This window comes from Homo sapiens, chromosome 3, assembly GCF_000001405.40.
Source record: "Homo sapiens chromosome 3, GRCh38.p14 Primary Assembly".
Classification (NCBI taxonomy): domain Eukaryota; kingdom Metazoa; phylum Chordata; class Mammalia; order Primates; family Hominidae; genus Homo; species Homo sapiens.
This window is the reverse complement of record NC_000003.12, coordinates 138,206,873-138,225,341: the sequence shown is the minus strand read 5'-3', so window position 1 is coordinate 138,225,341 and position 18,469 is coordinate 138,206,873. Positions and strand designations below refer to the sequence as shown.

General features: G+C 37.6%; 1 protein-coding gene across 15 annotated transcripts in view, besides 1 other annotated feature; it reads right to left on the bottom strand.

Moving 5' to 3' along the window:
- ARMC8 (armadillo repeat containing 8) overlaps positions 1-18,469 on the bottom strand; it is a 111,142-nt gene that overhangs the window by 73,048 nt on the left and 19,625 nt on the right. For 11 of the 15 annotated variants that reach the window (XM_006713565.3, XM_024453441.2, NM_001267041.2 and 8 more), the window contains 4 exons: positions 15,449-15,525; positions 3,345-3,416; positions 1,811-1,953; positions 1,609-1,706 (listed from right to left, as the gene is read on the bottom strand). In XM_006713565.3, coding sequence (XP_006713628.1) covers positions 1,609-1,706; positions 1,811-1,953; positions 3,345-3,416; positions 15,449-15,525 — 390 coding nt within the window. The remainder of the gene's footprint in view (positions 1-1,608; positions 1,707-1,810; positions 1,954-3,344; positions 3,417-15,448; positions 15,526-18,469) is intronic. The other 4 variants (XM_011512632.2, XM_006713566.5, NM_001363942.1 and 1 more) reach the window with 1 other exon arrangement.
- Positions 5,843-5,912: a silencer, noted in NCBI's record as "silent region_14764". NCBI's record gives its function as "represses an Ori minimal core promoter by ATAC-STARR-seq in GM12878 lymphoblastoid cells {active_cell/tissue: GM12878}" and the evidence as "EXISTENCE:reporter gene assay evidence [ECO:0000049][PMID:35858748]".

The following is an 18,469-nucleotide window of genomic DNA, read 5'->3' as shown; positions in this document are numbered from 1 at the left end:
GTCAGGAGATCCAGACCATCCTGGCCAACATGGTGAAACCCCGTCTCTACTAAAACCACAAAAATCAGCTGGGCGTGGTGGCACATGCCTGTAGGCCCAGCTGAGTAGCTCGGGAGGCTGAGGCAGGAGAATTGCTTGAACTCAGGAGGCGGAGGTTGCAGGGCCGAGATTCCTCCACTGCACTCCAGCCTCGGTGAGAGAGACACCGTCTCCAAAAAAAAAAAAAAAAAAAGCCAGAAGAAATGAATTTGGGCTGAGCACGGTGCCTCATGCCTTCCTCTCCACTTCTCTAAGTCTTATCCATTATTCAAAACCCAGATTAAATTCTAGCTTCTCTGCAAAGCCTACTCTGCTGGATTTCAACCGAAAGTCAGCTGAACTCCCTATCATTCATCTAGCGTAAAATAAACTTAAGTTCTACATATAGAGAGATAAAAATGGGTCTTTTTAAAAATAGCTTGTAAATTCCTCAAAGTCTGAGACTATCTTTCACTTTCTTACAAAGCTGAGAGCATCTGATATTTGGAAATAAGAAAGAACTCAAATACTTTTTGAGACTTTATTTATGTACTTATTTAGAGACAGTCTCTAAAAGCAGACAGTCTGCCCTGTCGCCCAGGCTGGAGTAGGGTGGTGTGATCTCAGATCACTGCAACGTCTCCTCCTGGGTTCAAGTGATTTTCATGGCTCAGCCTCCCGAGTAGCTGGTGTTGCAGGTATGTGCCACCGTGCCCGGTTAATTTCTGTAGTTTTAATAGAAATGGGAGTTTCACCGTGTTGGCCAGGCTGGTCTCGAACTCCTGGCCTCAGGTGATATATCCATCTTGAACTCCCAAACTGCTAGGATTACAGGCGTGAGCCACTGTACCCAGCGGAGACTTTTATCATTTTTTATTTTTAGTGAGAGGATCTCATTCTGTCACCTAGGCTGAGGTGCAGGGGCACCATCATAGCTTAGTATAACCTCAAACTCCTAGGCTCAAGCAATCCTTCCACTGCAGTCTCATGAGCTAGGACTATAGGCATGAGCCATTGCACCAGGCTAATTTATTTTTATTTTTTTCTTGTAGAGATGGAGTCTTGTTGTCGGGCGCAGTGGCTCACACCTGTAATCCCAGCACTTTGGGAGGCCGAGGCGGGTGGATCACAAGGTCAGGAGTTCAAGACCAGCCTGGCCAAGATGGTGAAACCCTATCTCTCCTAAAAATACAAAAAATTAGCCGGGTGTGGTGGCACGCGCCTGTAATCCAAGCTACTCCAGACGCTGAGGCAGAGAAATGCTTAAACCTGGCAGGGTGAAGGTTGCAGTGAGCCGAGATCGCGCCACTGCACTCTAGCCTGGGTGACAGAGCAAGACTCCACCTCAAAAAAAAAAAAAAAAAAAGAGATGGAGTCTTGTTATGTCACTCTGGTTGATCTTGAACTCCTGGCCTCAAGCAATCCTCCCACCTCAGCCTCCCAAAGCACTGGGATTACTGGTGTGAGCCACCATGACCAACTGAGACTTTTTTACATAACACAGTTATGATGAGTCTGAAGATGCTAAGCAAATTAGGAGTAGGCTGTTGGTGAAATGTAACTAATGTCTCAAATACATCTAAAACTCACTGTATACAGTAGCTCCTCTGGAGTGACAGGACTGGTGAAGATGGTACGCAGGCATCGGAGGCAAGCTTCAATAAACTTCAGGTCTGGGGACAGTAGTCCTATTAACAGAAATGAGATTTAGGACTAATCCTTTCAACCAGTATTTAAAGCACTGCAAACTGATTCTTAACCTTAATTGAGCAAAAATGGCTTCCCTACATACCTTGCAATAAGGCAGGGATAATATGGCAGTCCAGTAGAGACTTGACATTGTTTTCAGTACCCATAGCAAGACTTCCCAACACCACTGCACATTCAGTTTTCAGCTCTGTGCTTGAGGTTTCTTGCTGAAGCAAGTACAACAATCTAAAAAGAAGGAACTTAATAAACGAAGAGACTAAAAAATTTAAACAAGACTCAATGTGACCAAAAAAGGCTGTGCAGTCCACATACTAAAAATATGGTTGGCTGAGTTTATATGAATCCAATGGTCATTTGTTTATCTCATCTGCTAATTAAAGAAACATCTGGAAAAAAAATCTAGAAGAGGTTTTGAAAAAAAGAACTATCATATTCTTAGAGTTTATAAAAAGTGTAAATCTGAAAGTTGTCCACAGATAGTCTCTGTAGAAACAGCGTCATCAGAGTCCATGTCATCTACCACTTCCTGCTGGGTCTCCAAAATATGAAGACTCTCAAATGCCATGTGCTGCCAGATCTTAAACTCAAACTAGAAATGCTACTGCTCTGAATCCAGAGCAGTGGTGCAGTTTGTAGATATCGAGCCTATAGGGAATATTCAGAGCCCTTGTGCAGCTCCTCAAGCAAAGGTAGTTTCTTCTTTCTCCAGCTCTCTCATTTGGAAAAGGAAGAGATCCTCTCATTTCCACTCCAGCCCAGCTTGCCAAACAAATACTCCCCAAACCCTAACCTTCCTCCACTTATAACCATCTACCTTATGTTCTAAGACAGGACCCTCATGCTCCATAAAGCACTATTTATATATACCAAACATAAATCCCCTAAGAAAGGCTGCTGACAGCTTTATAGTTACTAAAGTATATGTTTGAGGTTGGTGAGTTAAAACACTTAAACCATTAATTCTGTATCAAAACCAGAAAATAAGGAGAAAAAAACAAAATAATAAATAATTCTGAATGAAAAGCTAATAGCAATTGCACAGAAAACTTAGCTCTGAGGAGCAAAAGTAAAGAGGAAGTTATGTAACTGTCATTGCCTGCCTAAAGGAAGCTTATTAGGTCATCAAAAGAAGAAATTAAACTTCCTAAACTTCTTACGTTAACTTAAAAAACAGCAAGTTGTAAAAATCAGAAGTTAAAAAATGAAACTGGATTAAAAATCAAGCAGGGTTTTTTTCCTTTAAATTCAAAAAGGTCTTAAGGCTCCTAATAAATTACCCACTCACACAAAAAACTGCCAAGGCTCTAAGGAAATGGAGAAGAAAGTATCAGGCTGTTGTACATTGCATATGTACTTTACGAACCCTTTTGTCATCAGGTCAAAGGTCTTCCTGAGTTTCCAAAATGTATTAACACATTCACTTCTTACTACATTCTCTGTTACTTTATAATTTTTTTCCTTAAAGATAGTTTAAATACTTACATTTATTTTTAAAAATAGGATTTATTTTAAGAATTAGACAGACAATACAGGAAAAATGGGTTCTATAATTGAGAGTAAGAAATACATTAGAAACTAGTATGAATGGCAAGAAAGGGGTGAGACAGCAAACATACCTTGGAACAGCTCCTAAAACAATGAGATTGGCTTTCTGCTTGTTGTTTCCAATTACAGCATTTTTCATGTCTCTGAATTAAGGGGAAGAAAAAATAAAGTATGTTGAGACAGCACTGAAGAAAAATCAAAGATCATTCTACTTCATTATGCAATATCTTAGATTTGACAAAGTAAAAGCACTAACCTTTTTTCACCTAAAGTACTAATGAAGGGATAGAGATAGGTGCAGAGTGAATGTGGGGGCTGTAAAACGGCGTATTGTAGAAAGTGAGAGATATCCTGAGTACTGGCGAAAGACTTCCAGTACAGAATTGAGTTCTTCTAGAAAGGGTACCTACCAATACTTTGGATACAAAGGAATACAGGCCACCCTCACGCTCAGCTCTAAGAGTAGGGAGTGAGTTAAACGAACAACAACAACAACAGAAAAAACAGCCCACAGAACATTAACTCCTTGTTTCAATGATCACACTTTGTTCACTTTTTTTTTTACTTCTTTATATATTATTTCTTACAATTCCATTTTATCTGCTTTATTGTCTTACTAACTGTACTCCTTTGTTATTTTCCAATGCATCTTTTAATTTATCACAGTCAGTCTTCAAGTGATATTAGCCCATTGCACATGTATTTTAAGAGCCTTGCATATGTATTTCCACTTTCCCATTCATTTTTTGGGCTGCTGTTATACAATATTTTTAAATTGCTTAGAAACAACATAATACATTGTTACTATTTTTGCTTAAGCAGCCAGTTATCTCTTAAGGCGATTTAAAAAATAACAAAGAATCTTTTACATTTCTCAGATATTCACAGTATTTTTTATTCTAGCTATACAGAGCTCTATACTTCACCAGGAGCAAAACTCTATTCCACAATAAGAGAACCTCTACCACTGATCACTTGGCTCACAAATTTGTGGTTGGTTCAAAAGGAAATGTAGAGAAAAAATAAATAGCTCAAAATAAACCCAGTACTACTAATAAAATGTTTAAAAAAACTTCCCTGGCCGGGCACGGTGACTCACACCTGTAATCCCAGCTCTTTGGGAGGCCTAGGCAGGCAGATTGCTTGAACTCAGGAGTTCAAGATCAGACTGAACAACATGGCGAAACTCCATCTCTACAAATAATACAAAAATTAGCCAGGTGTGGTGGCACGCACTTGTGGTCCCAGCTACCTGGGGGGCTAAGGTAGGAGGATCACTTCAGCTGGGGAGGTGGAGGTTGCAGTGAGCAGAGATCGCGCCACTGCACCCCAGTCAGGGTGACAGAACGAGACTCCATCTCAAAAAAAAAAAAAAGAAAAAAAAATCAACAAATAAATGTTATAGTCAGCATACATTTCTAACACCAATCATATTTACTGGCATTAAAGAACCTGGTAACGATTAACCCTTGTCTTCAATTGCCTTTTTTGATTATTGCAGAAAAATACTGCAACAACTAGTGATGTGCTAAAAGCAGATTTTCCCTACAAGTTTCTGAATGGCATTTTTACAAGTCAAGCCAAATACTGAGAATGCCTGGTCTTTCTTCCATTAGCTCAGTGCCTGAGGGTAGGGCTTTTTTTCCAGGCCTGACCTATCCCTCTGTAAAGTATCCCTCAGATCTTCTATATGGTTTACAAGAAATAAGTAGCAATTTTTTTGTTGTTGTTTATGGGACTGAACTGAATGAAGTTTACTGAGGTTGTTAGCAAGTTCTGATACATGAATATAAAACTATATGATATCAAAGGATCAATTAGCAAAGTTAAAGTTAGTAAGAGATTTCTAAGCTCCCGCATCCTCATGGATGCCTGTTTTCTTTAGAGGCTTTAGTTCCTAATCATCAGCATATGGACCTTAACCTACCAGCTTGTTGTTCACTTTCATTGTCTTCCTTTCTCTTAATGTGTTCTGCCTATACTAATGTAGAACATTCATTTATCCAGCCCCTACCTACTTAGAGTCTGTGTAGGCTAAGTGCCATTCTGAATGCTTTCTATTCCAGAACTCCCAACCCTAATATTTCCCCAGTTTTTCCTCTCCATTCTTCTTAAGCAGAAATGAGCGGTCCCTAACATTACCAAATGAACCCATTCCAAACATCTCAAACCATGCCATGTTTTTACAGACAAGAGCAAACAAAAACCTGTCCAACACCAATTTTCTAATTCTCTTAATAGTTTACAAAAAGGACATGAAGGAGGTAACTGATGGCAACAGAGGAAATGCCAACTAAAGAGAACACAATACAATGGAACAATGTCTAAAGAAAAAGATTCTCGCTTTGGCTTTAGTAAGTAAATATACCTGTGCTAGATAAGGAAAAAAAGATGTTAATAAATTCTATTCAATTGTTGCTATAAAGGAATGTTAATAGATCACTTCCATGAAGAATTAAAATCAAAAGGATTAACAGGATTAAGCAATCAATTTCAGATGACAACATTCAGCCATCTAGATGAAGCTTCTTTCAGTTCCCAGAGTGTAGTTATTCTTTCTCCGTCATCTCCTTATCCCCTCCCTCATACTTTCCCCTGACTAGCTTTACTCATCCTTCAGGTCTGAATGTCACTTCCTCAGGAAGCATGCCCTGAAACCCCCAGGTCATCACTTTGTTAGAGTAAAAGTCTATCTCCTCCTGAGAGGCAAGAAAGCCAATCTGACCTGGAAATATCAAAGCAGTTACTGTCAGTAGATCATTATTTATAGTGATTCTAGATATCCATTATTTTTGTAAAATGCAAACTCACAGCTATCATCCAAGATGGGAACACAACAACACTATCCAAGATTTCTACATTACTTTCAAATTTACAAAGCATTCCATATCCACTACTTAATTTCATCTTCATCATAATCTAGAGTAATATTAACTCCATTTTACAGAGAGAAAGCTACAACTCAGGATTGGCCTTTTTTCAGAACCCAATATTAAATGACAGAGCCAGTCTCAACCCATGTCTTTTATGCCAACTGTTTTTTCCATTATGGCCAGGACATCAGACATTGACAACGAACCAATGGAAAAGACAAATGAATTCAGTGAATTCATTTTCTTTTTCCTTCTGTGTTTTAATGTTACATTTTTATGCAAAATAAAAGTGTTTCTAACTTTTAGTCAGATACCCTTTTCCCAGTAGACCAAAAGAATGTCATCTCATGCCCACTAACTTTTAATGTTGGGAAAAATGCTCTACTTACTTTTACTGAAATTCAACAACTAGTTTTTGAGCTCAGCATTGTGCTAGCCTCTATGAAGTATACGAAAGTATCACACAATGGGATGCCTGGTCTGAGGAGTTCACAATATCCGTGGAGTGGCAAAAATAACACTATCAATGTAAGTCAGTACTAAATTAAAAACTGAATGTTTATAAGGTAAAGAAAAGTAGATGCTCAATAAGCTTAAAAGGTTTTGAGGCAATGGTTAAGAACTAAGATAAACCTTAGACAATAGTCAGGACTTGGATAAGCAGATGGGAGGACAAAAGGAGAAATCGTTCATACAAGACCATATTGGAAATGAAAATGGCATGTTCCTGGGGCAATACAAGGAGCCTGAACTGAAAAACAAGTTCGCTTTAGGGTGGCATGGAACATAAAGTTAGAAAAGTGATAGGGAGATGAGACAAACTAAAGGGAGATGGATTAAGGAGCAATCATATTTTTGATCACAGAAGGGGCATGAAGGAAGCAGTGACTAAGGAAAATAAGCTGAATGTGAAATGGAATGCTTATAATATTAGTTAAGAGGGACAACTAAGTGGCTGATGCCCCCCCTTGTGATCTCCAGACCCCTATGCTTATCTTTAACATAGCATTCATTAGGTAAACTATCATGGATGGTCTCTTTAGTTATTTGACTATTTCATTAGACTTTTGGACCCTTCAGAGCACTGACTACATTATTCACCCTTATATACCCCCATACTAGCACAATGCTTGGTACTAGGCAGGCACTCAATAAATATTTGTTGAAGGACTTAATCAATCCATCTAGGTATCTGGTTATACAAAACTGATTAGTGGAGCAGCCAAAGGAATCATTAATACAAAGGTCATTTTGAGGAAGCAGTTAACAAGATGATTTAATAGGTACAAAAATGTGATATGTGACATGTCGAGTGACTACTTCATGTCTGGGCACATGGGTGCAGGAAACAACAGAAAGCTTAGAGAGAAGACAAGGATTGATTTTTGACTTTGTACACACTGAATTATCTTTGAGGTGAGATAAGAATAAGTAAGCCTTGGGGATATCCCACTTTTGGGGAGTGGGAGAAAAGAAGTCAATATTAAGATGTTACAAACATGCATTTGTTGAGAAAGATTTTCAGCCAAAATCTGGCTAAAATCTTAAATTTGCATGCTAATAAATGGACTTGATAAGCTCCCACATTTACACAGAGGTTAAACTTTCTACTTTACTTTCTTTGCTCTGAAAGAGATTTTTAGTGTGGCAGAGAAAAAGGGCTTGCATATTAAAATGTACAGTGCCTACCACAGCATATGTCTAAATTAGAGCATTATAAGCGTGATGAAAACCAAGAGAAAAAGCACTATATGTTGCTATTAAAATAACAGAAAAAAGAAAAAAAAAAAAAAAGGATCTAGACCTGCTGGAGAAACCATTTCAGTCAATCAAGTATGAATATATTTATTTCTAAATGGTCAAAAATAGCATACATTTTAACTGAAAGCCTAATATCACCTAAAAACAAAATTATCTTTAAAAGTATTGAAGACTGGAGACCCAAGCTAAAAAATCAATTACAGTCATGCTTCGCTTAACGACGAGGACACATTATTTGACGACGGGGATATGTTCTGAGAAATGCATCATTAGACAACTTTGTCCTTGTGTGAACATCATAGAGTGTACTTACACCAACTAGATGGTATAGCCTACTACACACTTAGACTATATGGTATAGTTTATTGCTTGTAGGCTGCAAACATGTACAGCATGTTACTGTACTGAATAATGTAGGCAACTGTAACACAATGGTAGGTAATGTGTAGCTAAACATATTTAAATACAAAAATACAGTATTATATTCTTACAGGGTCACTGACTTTAACTGTCTTTAACTGAAACATCATTGTGTAGAGCATGACTATATATCTATTTATTTTGAACCAGTATTTCACGTACCTGAAGCAGCTCTTTTCTGCTTCATATTTGGAATACTCTATGTGTATTTCTGGTCTAATTAGTATGAAGTAGCCAAAAACTACACTGGATACTGAAAACTACAATCTGAGTATAAAGTTTGATCTACTTATGAAAACTCACTGTTTATAAAACATTCATTTGTAAAATAAGAAAAAAACACATATCTGTGGGTAACTAGAATAAGGGCAACATGGTAAACAACTTACATTATTTGGACTGTGAGAATCACAAACATACACAATGCTCTGTCCCTGTAATTGTAATTATCATTTTTTGGAGAATGTAATATCCAGACATCCAAGTATGATAACCTTTCTGTTATCATGCATGGTTAAGGAATGAGGTATATTCATATTCCAACTAAAGTTATATGACAATGAATTCCACTGTCATTATTGAATTGCCAATTTTAAGAATTAGCTAATGATGATCTACTATTCAAACTAAAGTTATTTTTAACATAAGGCTTTGATTCAAGAGGCAGTTGGAAAACTTACAGCAAAATTCAGCTCAAATCAACTTGGGCATTTACTGAATATCAACTACATGTATAAACTGAAAAAACAGAATTGACTTTAATTTAGTTCATTCTTATAAACAAATTACTCTGTGATGTGGATTTTTGGAATATATGTAGTTTCAGATACAGTTCTGATTTGTATAAAACCATGAAAAGCAGCACTTTGGAAGTCCGAGGCGGGCGGATCACAAGGTCAGGAGTTCAAGACCAGCCTGGCCAACATAATGAAACCCCATCTCTACTTAAAAAAAAAAAAAAAAAAAAAATTAGCTGGGCATGGTGGCATGCAGTAGCTGTAATTACAGTAGCTGTAATCCCAGCTACTCGGGAGGCTGAGGCAGGAGAATTGCTTGAACCTGGGAGGCGGAGGTTGCAGTGAGCCGAGATTGCATCACTGCACTCCAGCCTGGATGACAGAGCAAGACTCTGTCTCAAAAAAAAACAATAAATAAATAAATAAATAAATAAACCATGAAAAGTTTACTGTAAATATTTAATTTTCTTTCCATAGCATTTTATGGTTCCTTAATGACAAGTGAATACATAATTTTGAAAATTAAATACTGGCTCCGAAATTAGGATATTTAATGTATTTAACTCTGTTTTATCAATGTATGATTACAAATCACCTTACACTCTCTAAAAATGAAGAGTAAAATCTACCAAAATATTTTGGTAGATATTAACACTTTAAATATATTTAATCATTCCAAGGAACATAAAAAATGTGTTAGAACAGTATGGAACAATATGGCAGCATGCAGTTAAGCGCTTTATACATTTGAAAAGATAATTTAGCCGGACACGGTGGCTCATGCTTGTAATCCCAGCACTTTGGGAGGCCGAGGCGGGTGGATCACGAGATCAGGAGATCGAGACCATCCTGGTTAACACGGTGAAACCCCGTCTCTACTAAAAATACAAAAAATTAGCCGGGCATGGTGGCTTGTGCCTGTAGTCCCAGCTACTTGGGAGGCTGAGGCAGGAGAATCACTTGAACCCGGGAGGCAGAGGTTGCAGTGAGCCCAGACCACGCCATTGCACTCCAGTCTGGGCAACAGAGTGAGACTCCACCTCAAAAAAAAAAGAAAAGAAAAGATATATACACATATGCACGCAAATATATAGTCTTGATGTTCAAAGTTAGTATCACATAGACATATGTATACAAACAGCTTATCTGTCTGCAAGTAAAGACCATGTCAATTTGATTTAATCATTCCTGGATAATCCTATCGAATTCTCTGACCAAATTCTCTCAGAATATATAGTTTTAAATAAGTAAGATGCAGATCACTCTATCACATTTGGTATTAAGGTCACCTTTGTGTATGTTTACCCATAACCCTCAAAAATAACTGATTAAGACGGGGCACAGTAATCCCAACACTTTGAGAGGCCAAGGTGGGAGGATCACTTGAGGTCAGGAGTTCGAGAACAGCCCAGCCTGGCTAACAGGGCAAAACCTTGTCTCTACTAAAAATACAAAAATTAGCTGTGCATGGTGGCAGGCACCTATAATCCCAGCTACTCAGGAAGCTGAGGCAGAATTGCTTGAACCCAGGAAGCAGAGGTTGCAGTGAGTTGAGATCACGCTGCTGCACTCCAGCCTGGGTGACAGAGCGAGACTCCATCTCAAAACAAAACAAAAAAACTGATTAAATGTATTAGGAGAAGAAATTTTTTAAATGATTTTTTTGGAATACTTATTTTCAATTATTCTAAAACTTAACCCTTTAACTTAAAAGTTCTCAAAACCCAAAGGCTTCATTTTATGGGAACTCTTTATCTTTAGCTCATGCAAGAAAATGGAACCTGTCTACATTCTACTGAAACCAGAGATACAAAATTTCCTGGAGCTAAGAGAATTAATCATTACCAAAATAAACTCATATCATCAGTACATTAAAATGCTTCAGAAGACACTTTAGAAGTGGATTCTTGGTGGGGGAAAAAAAAAAAATCACATGATTCTGCAGCATCCACAAGTGCCTGACTGAATTCACCAGAGGTCTAGTCAAGCTTTCTAATTCTATTAAACTCTGAAACTACAAAGCTAGCTACGTTGGCTTATATCATCTTTTGCTTTTCAACATAGCAATATCAACAAAGGGCCATGTAGGGATATCTGCTAACCTTTTTTTTTTTTTTTAAACAAAACAAAACAAAAACAACTCTGTGACGCAGGCTGGAGTGCAGTGGCATAATCTCGGCTCACTGCAACCTCCACCTCCTGGGCTCAAGGGATCCTTCTACCTCAGCCTCCCAAGTAGTGGGGACTACAGGCACGTACCACCACGCCTGGCTAATTTTTATTTTTGTAGAGATGGGTTTCACCATGTTGTCCAAGCTGGAACTCCTGGGTTCAAGGGATCCGCCCGCCTTGGTCTCTCCACTGTACTGGGATTACAGGCATGAGTCACCATGCCTGGCCTCTGTTAATCTTTTCATTGAAATTCACTAACATGAAAACCAGATCAAGTGCTCTAATTTTGTTATGTTAAGAAAACAAAACAAAACTGTTTAAGTAGCTTTCACTCATGATTTACAAAATCATATGAAGAGTTCTTCTTCTTCTTCAAGTATGAGATTTAACTTGGTTGAACCAATACTAAAATAACTTCACAAAAAAGGTCCTGCAATGTTTTAAGTCACATGCAGATCTCCATATTACAGGAAGCTCAGAATTTGCAATGCAGGGTAGTTTAACTGACATACCTACTTCTGTTGTAGTTGCGAAGGCTACGCTTTATGACCTACACAGTGACTTCCCTCTTCTTTCAGCTCGTATCTTACTCCCTACTTAATGATCATCTATTCAGTTATGCACATGAAATTTTGCTCTTTTAGAGAAAAGGACCTGATTTTGTATTCAAACCTTTTACACAACAGGACAATTCAAGTTTATGCTAACTATTGTGCTACTAACAAATTTATCTCTAGATAACTCTGCATTCTTCAACAATTGAAAATTAAGCAGTTCTGATGCTTAATGTTAATCTTTCAACAAGGCATACTCACTGACTAGGTAAAATGGTTCACTGTGATGTGAGCTATCTACAAAGTTCCCATATTTATGGGTAGATCTATAGCTCTAACTCAGCTAGTAGATTAGTTGTAGACTATGATGAAGAATCATTATTCATCTTTAATTTGATTTTGCTTTTCCTGCTAGTATGCTACACATGTTCACAATCTTATTTGTCTTCAAGATAGAGTCTCACTGTGTTGCCCAGGCAGGATTTGAACTCCTAGGCTCCAGCAATCTTCCTGCCTCAGCCTCCCAAGCAACTGTTAACTACACATGCCTTCCACCATGCCTCGTATATGTTCACAACATTTATTGAGAAAAATCAAACTTGAAAGAGCCAGAAAAATGATAAAACTCTGGTTGGCTTGTAGTCAAAGCTACAATTTTTGTCAATTATTTTATGTCCTTTCAATTAAATATTTTGGATTTAATGCTATTTCGGCCTCTACCTTTTCCTTCCCTAAAATTAATAGGCTACCTTTGGTTGTTTATACTCTGTGGCCATCTTTCTACCTACCTATTTTGGTCTAGTAATGGTCTCTTAATGATGACTTAATGGTGACTTAATGATGACTGTGAGGTGTATAAAAATCAAAAAATTGGTCAACTCTCTTTTCCTAAATACCATTTTCATTCCCTTTTTCTATACATATTGTATTAAACAAGATTACTTAGGCCAGGCGCGGTGGCTCACGCCTGTAATCCCAGCACTTTGGGAGGCCGAGAGGTGGATCACCTGAGGTCAGGAGTTCGAGACCAGCCTGACCAACATGGAGAAACCTCGTCTCTACTAAATATACAAAATTAGCCGAGCATGGTGGTGGGCGCCTGTAATCCCTGCTACTCGGGAGGCTGAGGCAGGAGAATTATTTGAACCCGGGAGGTGGAGGTTGCGGTGAGCCGAGATCGCGCCATTGCACTGCAGCCTGGGCAAAAAGAGTGAAACTCCGTCTCAAAAAAAAAAAAAAAAAAGATTACTTAAAGACAGATAATGTTGAAAGTAATCCACTTTTCATTCTCTTGACCATGTACAATTAATTTTCAGACAGTAACAAAGTTTAAGAAAGAAGTCAGAAAGAATAAATATTTCTATCTGGAGAAAAGGAAGCTTTATCAAATCACACTACACTATCTCCATAAGATCAGTATTACTCTGAGATAAAGAAAAAAAAATGTTGGGTGATCTGTCCCCTTTAAACTATAAACAGATTTTAGTATTTTAAGTAGCAATCACGTTTACTAGAATGTTATCACTCACATTCTCTTGTCTGAGTTAGGAATTTTAGTCCCTCTCTCTCTTCTACTTTAGTTTGAACTGTCTCCTCTGTTTTTTTCCCCCTTTCTCTTCTTTGAGGAGAATTATCTTTTTTTTTAAGTTGTTTTAAATTGGAGCTAATAACAACTAACCACTTAAGTGCCAACTGATCCACAACGTATCAGACATTGAATTTTATAATTCTGATTTAATTCTCACATCAACCTGGCAATATGGGCAGTGTTATCTTTACAGATGATGAAATTGAGGCTCAATGAAATTACAAAACTTGTCCAAGCACACCACTAGAAAGGGACCATAACAGAAAATGTCAGAATTAGGAATTCAAACCACTATGGTCCAACTCCAAACCCCACGCTCCTTCTACTCTACCATTCCTTCACACAAACATTTCTTTATGTCTAGCTGACAGCTAATTAGGTCTCAAACTGGTAGTTTTTCAAAAGACACTAAGGCTATCAAACTACATTTTAGCTGCTTTGTCATAATTCTATCTTTCCCACTTTTATCATTTGGTATTTTATCAATTTTTGAGAAACTAGTGTTCTTTGGTAAGTAAAAAATTTCTCAAAGTGACAACATTCGAATCAGCTACTCATATCAGATAGAACTCTACCAGTCTATCACACAGAATTCTTGATTACTAAACAGCTTTCTCCTAAACATAGTAGCAGTGATATCATCTTTTAATACCATTTATTGAACACTTAATAAGTCTAACATTCTCAACCATTTATTGAGTAATTTTAAGTAATACTTAGAATTATCTATATACGGAGCTATCTGGTTATATGTGGAGAGTATCTGTCTAAGGAAGAGTGTTAAGTAAAACCTGCCCCCTTGACGAACTTGTGTGTGTAGGTACAACCCAAACTGATTTATTTAATAGATGGATTTAATAAACCATTTTTCCTGGTAATAATTAAACTAGTCTAAAAAGGAGTGATTAAATAATTATAAAGTCTCCTACTTAAGGGAACAAAGGCAAAGTTAACATAATGAGAACACCAGAAATACCACCGTTTTTTGTAAACTGAGAAGCCGTGAAAATAAGCGTCAAGTATCTCGGTGGATCCTAACCAGCTTCCCACCTTCCCTTCCAGCTCAATTTGAATAGCCAAGCAGTTTTACAGCACTTTTATTTTACCTCCCTTTATAAATTCACAACTCCAAAGCCTACAATGCCTTTGGGGAGAGAGGCTTTAAGAACTGCAGTCCGAAGAAACTTGTATAAACAAAGCATCCCAGCCTTGCCATGGCTAAGCACAAGTTAAAGTACTATTTGGCTGACAATGCTTATGGGATTAGAGAAAAAGAAAGAGGCCTCCCTCATGGGCGCCCTCATCATTACCCAAATGTATCTTGACCCTTTTTTGTGTCTTTCTTCCCATAGACACAGTTCAGGCCTGTGGATCCTTCACATTTCCCAACCCCATGATAAGCCTTAGTCTAGACCTTCCTCCTTAGAACTAATGCGCTAAGAGTATGATAATCTGAAACTCAAAGGAAAGGGAATAAATCTGAAATCTTATCCTACTTGCTTCTCTTAATTTTTTAAGAGCATAATTACCTCTGGTATGTTGCTTAAAAATGTTTCCTCTCATTAAACATGAAATTTTGGAGAAAAAAAGGCATTATGGTTATTAAGAGTTTAAATTTTCTGACAGCTTTCTAAATTCGAAATTTAAAACATCAACAGGAGACTCAATCTTGGTGACAGTTAATGAGTTAACCAAAAACAAAACAAAGCAAAACAAAAAACCCTACTGGTCTATTCTTTCACTGCATTCCAATTATGAAAGACCATCAATCTTATTCTCCTGCTTTTGTGGATATTAAAGAAGCAAAAGCATTCTCCAAAGAAAACATTTTTTTAATGTGAAACAAGTATTCTACAAAAAATGAAGCTAACCATGTCAGTTAACAACTATTCAAAAGACAATTCTTTATGGTAAAATATTAAACGTCATGAATGTCAAGCAGTCTTTCTAGAAAGAAGCCAAATGAAAGAAAAAAGGTATAACCCTGTATTTTCAAAATTAAAATATGTGGCAGATTAAAACATGAAAACAAACAACTTTTTGATAGACTCTTAAATACATACTACTTACATGACACCTTGTAGAACTTTCTGGGGATCAGGGTCAAATAGCCTGTCAACATAGTGGCGACTGCTAGCTGTTACTTCCTAGAAAGTGGGGGGAAAAATTATGACATCTGAAGCCATGCAAATCACAAATTCACAGCATCACCCACAATATCAAGTGACTAGATAATTTAACTTAAGGTAGATGCATTAAAATTTATATGAAATACTTAGTTTTGCCTCCTCATGATATGGGATACTTAAGCAGGTGACTTTTCTCTCTCAGGTATCAAAATAATGGGAAACTGTAGTGTTCAGTTCAAGATGTCAAAGATCAATATTTTTCTTCTAAGAATGCCCAATTTCAAAAGTAAGAATGTCCATGGTATACATTTTACTATGTCTTAAAACTAGCAGGAGAGTTTGGAAAATCAACGTAATTACAAAGCACATCACTTTGTTCATTCAGAAGAATCATCAGGAAGATATTAAGTATATTTTTGTAAATACTTTATTACATTAGTCTGAAAAAAAGCTCATGACAAAGATAAACAGTAAGACAGAAAAGAAAGAAGACTCCTAGTTCTCACTAAACACATAGCTAGACAGTGGGACCTTTGTGGCGAGCCCTAGAAGTTTTGCCAACAGAAGACCTAGGCAAATATGTTAGCATATACACTTAGCAGCAAGCTAAGTTTCTTCACTAACTGCTGGGTGTCATGTACGTATAATTAATAGATAGGAATATTACTTCTATAAATTAGTATACACAAAAGGACAAAATCTGGCTCTCAGCCAGGGAAGAGTGAGGACTCCATGAAACAGTCTGTAAGGGGTAGTCTAGGTACAAGAGGAAATCCTTAGACTAATGTAGAGAAGCTTCATTGCTGGAGGCAGAAGTAAAAATAAATAAAGGAGTTGTCACACTTTCTGTGAAGGAAAACAATTAAGAATTAGAGTGATCTGTAGGCCACCCAAGCTGTCTCAACTGAACTGGATAAGGGTGGGTAGAATTAGAAAGAGTACAAAGGGAAGACACTTACCTCCTTTTCATTTGTATTGTGAAGTTTTTCTATTGTGTTATTTCTTGTAATACTTATTTTGGAGGGTAACTCTTTTTTAATATTTAATTTTTGATGCTTCATATTATTTAAAATAAAGAATCCATATTTAAGAACCAGAGAAAAAGTTTTGTCCCCTGCTTGTTTTTTCTGATGCCTGCTGAAATATCTTTATATACTCCCCCGCCGTTAGCAATAAGTTCTTATAGGGAGGAAGAAATAACTTTTCCAATTTACTCAGAACTCCAAATCAGTAAAAGTTAATTACCAAGACACAGTACCAGCTTAAAACTTTTGAGCCACCAAAAATAACTCTGGAGAACTACACAAACTCTAGTTTTCTGATAATATAGTTAACTAAGTCAACATATATTTTCTTCCCCCCTCCCCTGAGACGAAGTCTCGCTCTGTTGCCCAGGCTAGAGTCCAGCAGCATGATCTTGGCTCACTTGCAACCTCCGCCTCTCGGGTTCAAGCAATTCTCCTGCCTCAGCCTCCTGAGTAGCTGGGATTACAGGCGCGCACCACCACATCCAGCTAATTTTTGTATTTTTAGTAGAGATGGGGTTTCACCATGTTGGCCAGGCTGGTCTTGAACCCCTGACCTCGTGATCCGCCCGCCTTGGCCTCCCAAAGTGCTGGGATTACAGGCATGAGCCACTGTGCCCAGCCAACACATATTTTCGTATTCTGAATTTGCTACCAAAATATCCTCAAAGGCAACTCAAATACCTCCTTTAAAACAACAACAACAACAAAAAAAAAAAAACAGAGATGCCGTCTTGCCCAGGCCGATCTCAAACTCCTGGGCTCAAGGAATACTCTCATCTCAGCCTCCCAAGTAACTTGACTACAGGTATGTGCCACTACATCCAGCTCAAATGCTTGCTTTTAGCATGTACTTCATTTTTAAAGAACAAACAGTGGAAGCAAAGAGGCAAAAGTGGTGAAAATTCTTGTGCCCACCAGGGTACCATTAAAGCACCTGCTAACACATGTTTTCCTCAAAATAACAGAATCACAGAGTTAGAAGGACTCTCAACAATAATCTGCTCAATCCCTCGGTTTACAAATGGGGCTTCTCATGATCTTTACCCATTTGTCAGATCTTCAAATGTACAGTTAGGACACAAATAACTGTACGAACATATCAAGAAACAATATATGACAACCAAAAGCTACAGAAGAACTGAAAAAAAGCACTACTATAATACAAACAGGTAAGTTTTGCCACTCCATTTGAGTACATGTTTTCCTGGTTTTCTGACATAGTAAGTTCTAAGTACCTCAGACCCTCCTATCCAGAGATTGATTTTGATGTTACTGTTCTATCTTTACTGTCTATAGCTCCACATCTCTTACCTCTCAATGATGTGTATCTTAACATAAGTTTCCCCCATTAATAGCAATTCTTTTGCTGCTCTGTGCCTGGTTCATTCAATATAACATGCACTGAGGAAAGCATTAAAAATAAATTTATCTTTAATAAAGAAGATAAGCAAGGCACAGTCCCTGTTCTCAAGAATTCATATTCTCTTGTTACTATGTTTACATGATTATTTCCCTATTAGAATATAAGAATTATAGTATACACAACATAAAGGCGGCACTGAGGAGGACATTTGTAAACCAGGGGAATCAGGGAAGGCTTCTTTCAGGAATTGGCTTTGGAAAATGAGTAAGAGTGTACCAGGATGGACAAGGAAAGAAAGAATCAATGTCACAATCATTGCCACAGGGCATGCAAAGCCAATACAAGTAAACAATCAGCAAGTATACTAGTTGCTGGCACTGAAAAGAACAGAGGATAGAGAGGCACCGCAGGATGTAAAACACAAAAGGCTAACCAATAGGTGGACCACAATTGGAGATTTCACACTGCCTTTTGGTCAAAGTTACATGCTAGATGCCAAAGAAGGTATAAGAGGACATTAAGGCAGAGCCTTGCATTTAAGAAGCTTAGTATCTGAAATTGTTATGTATAC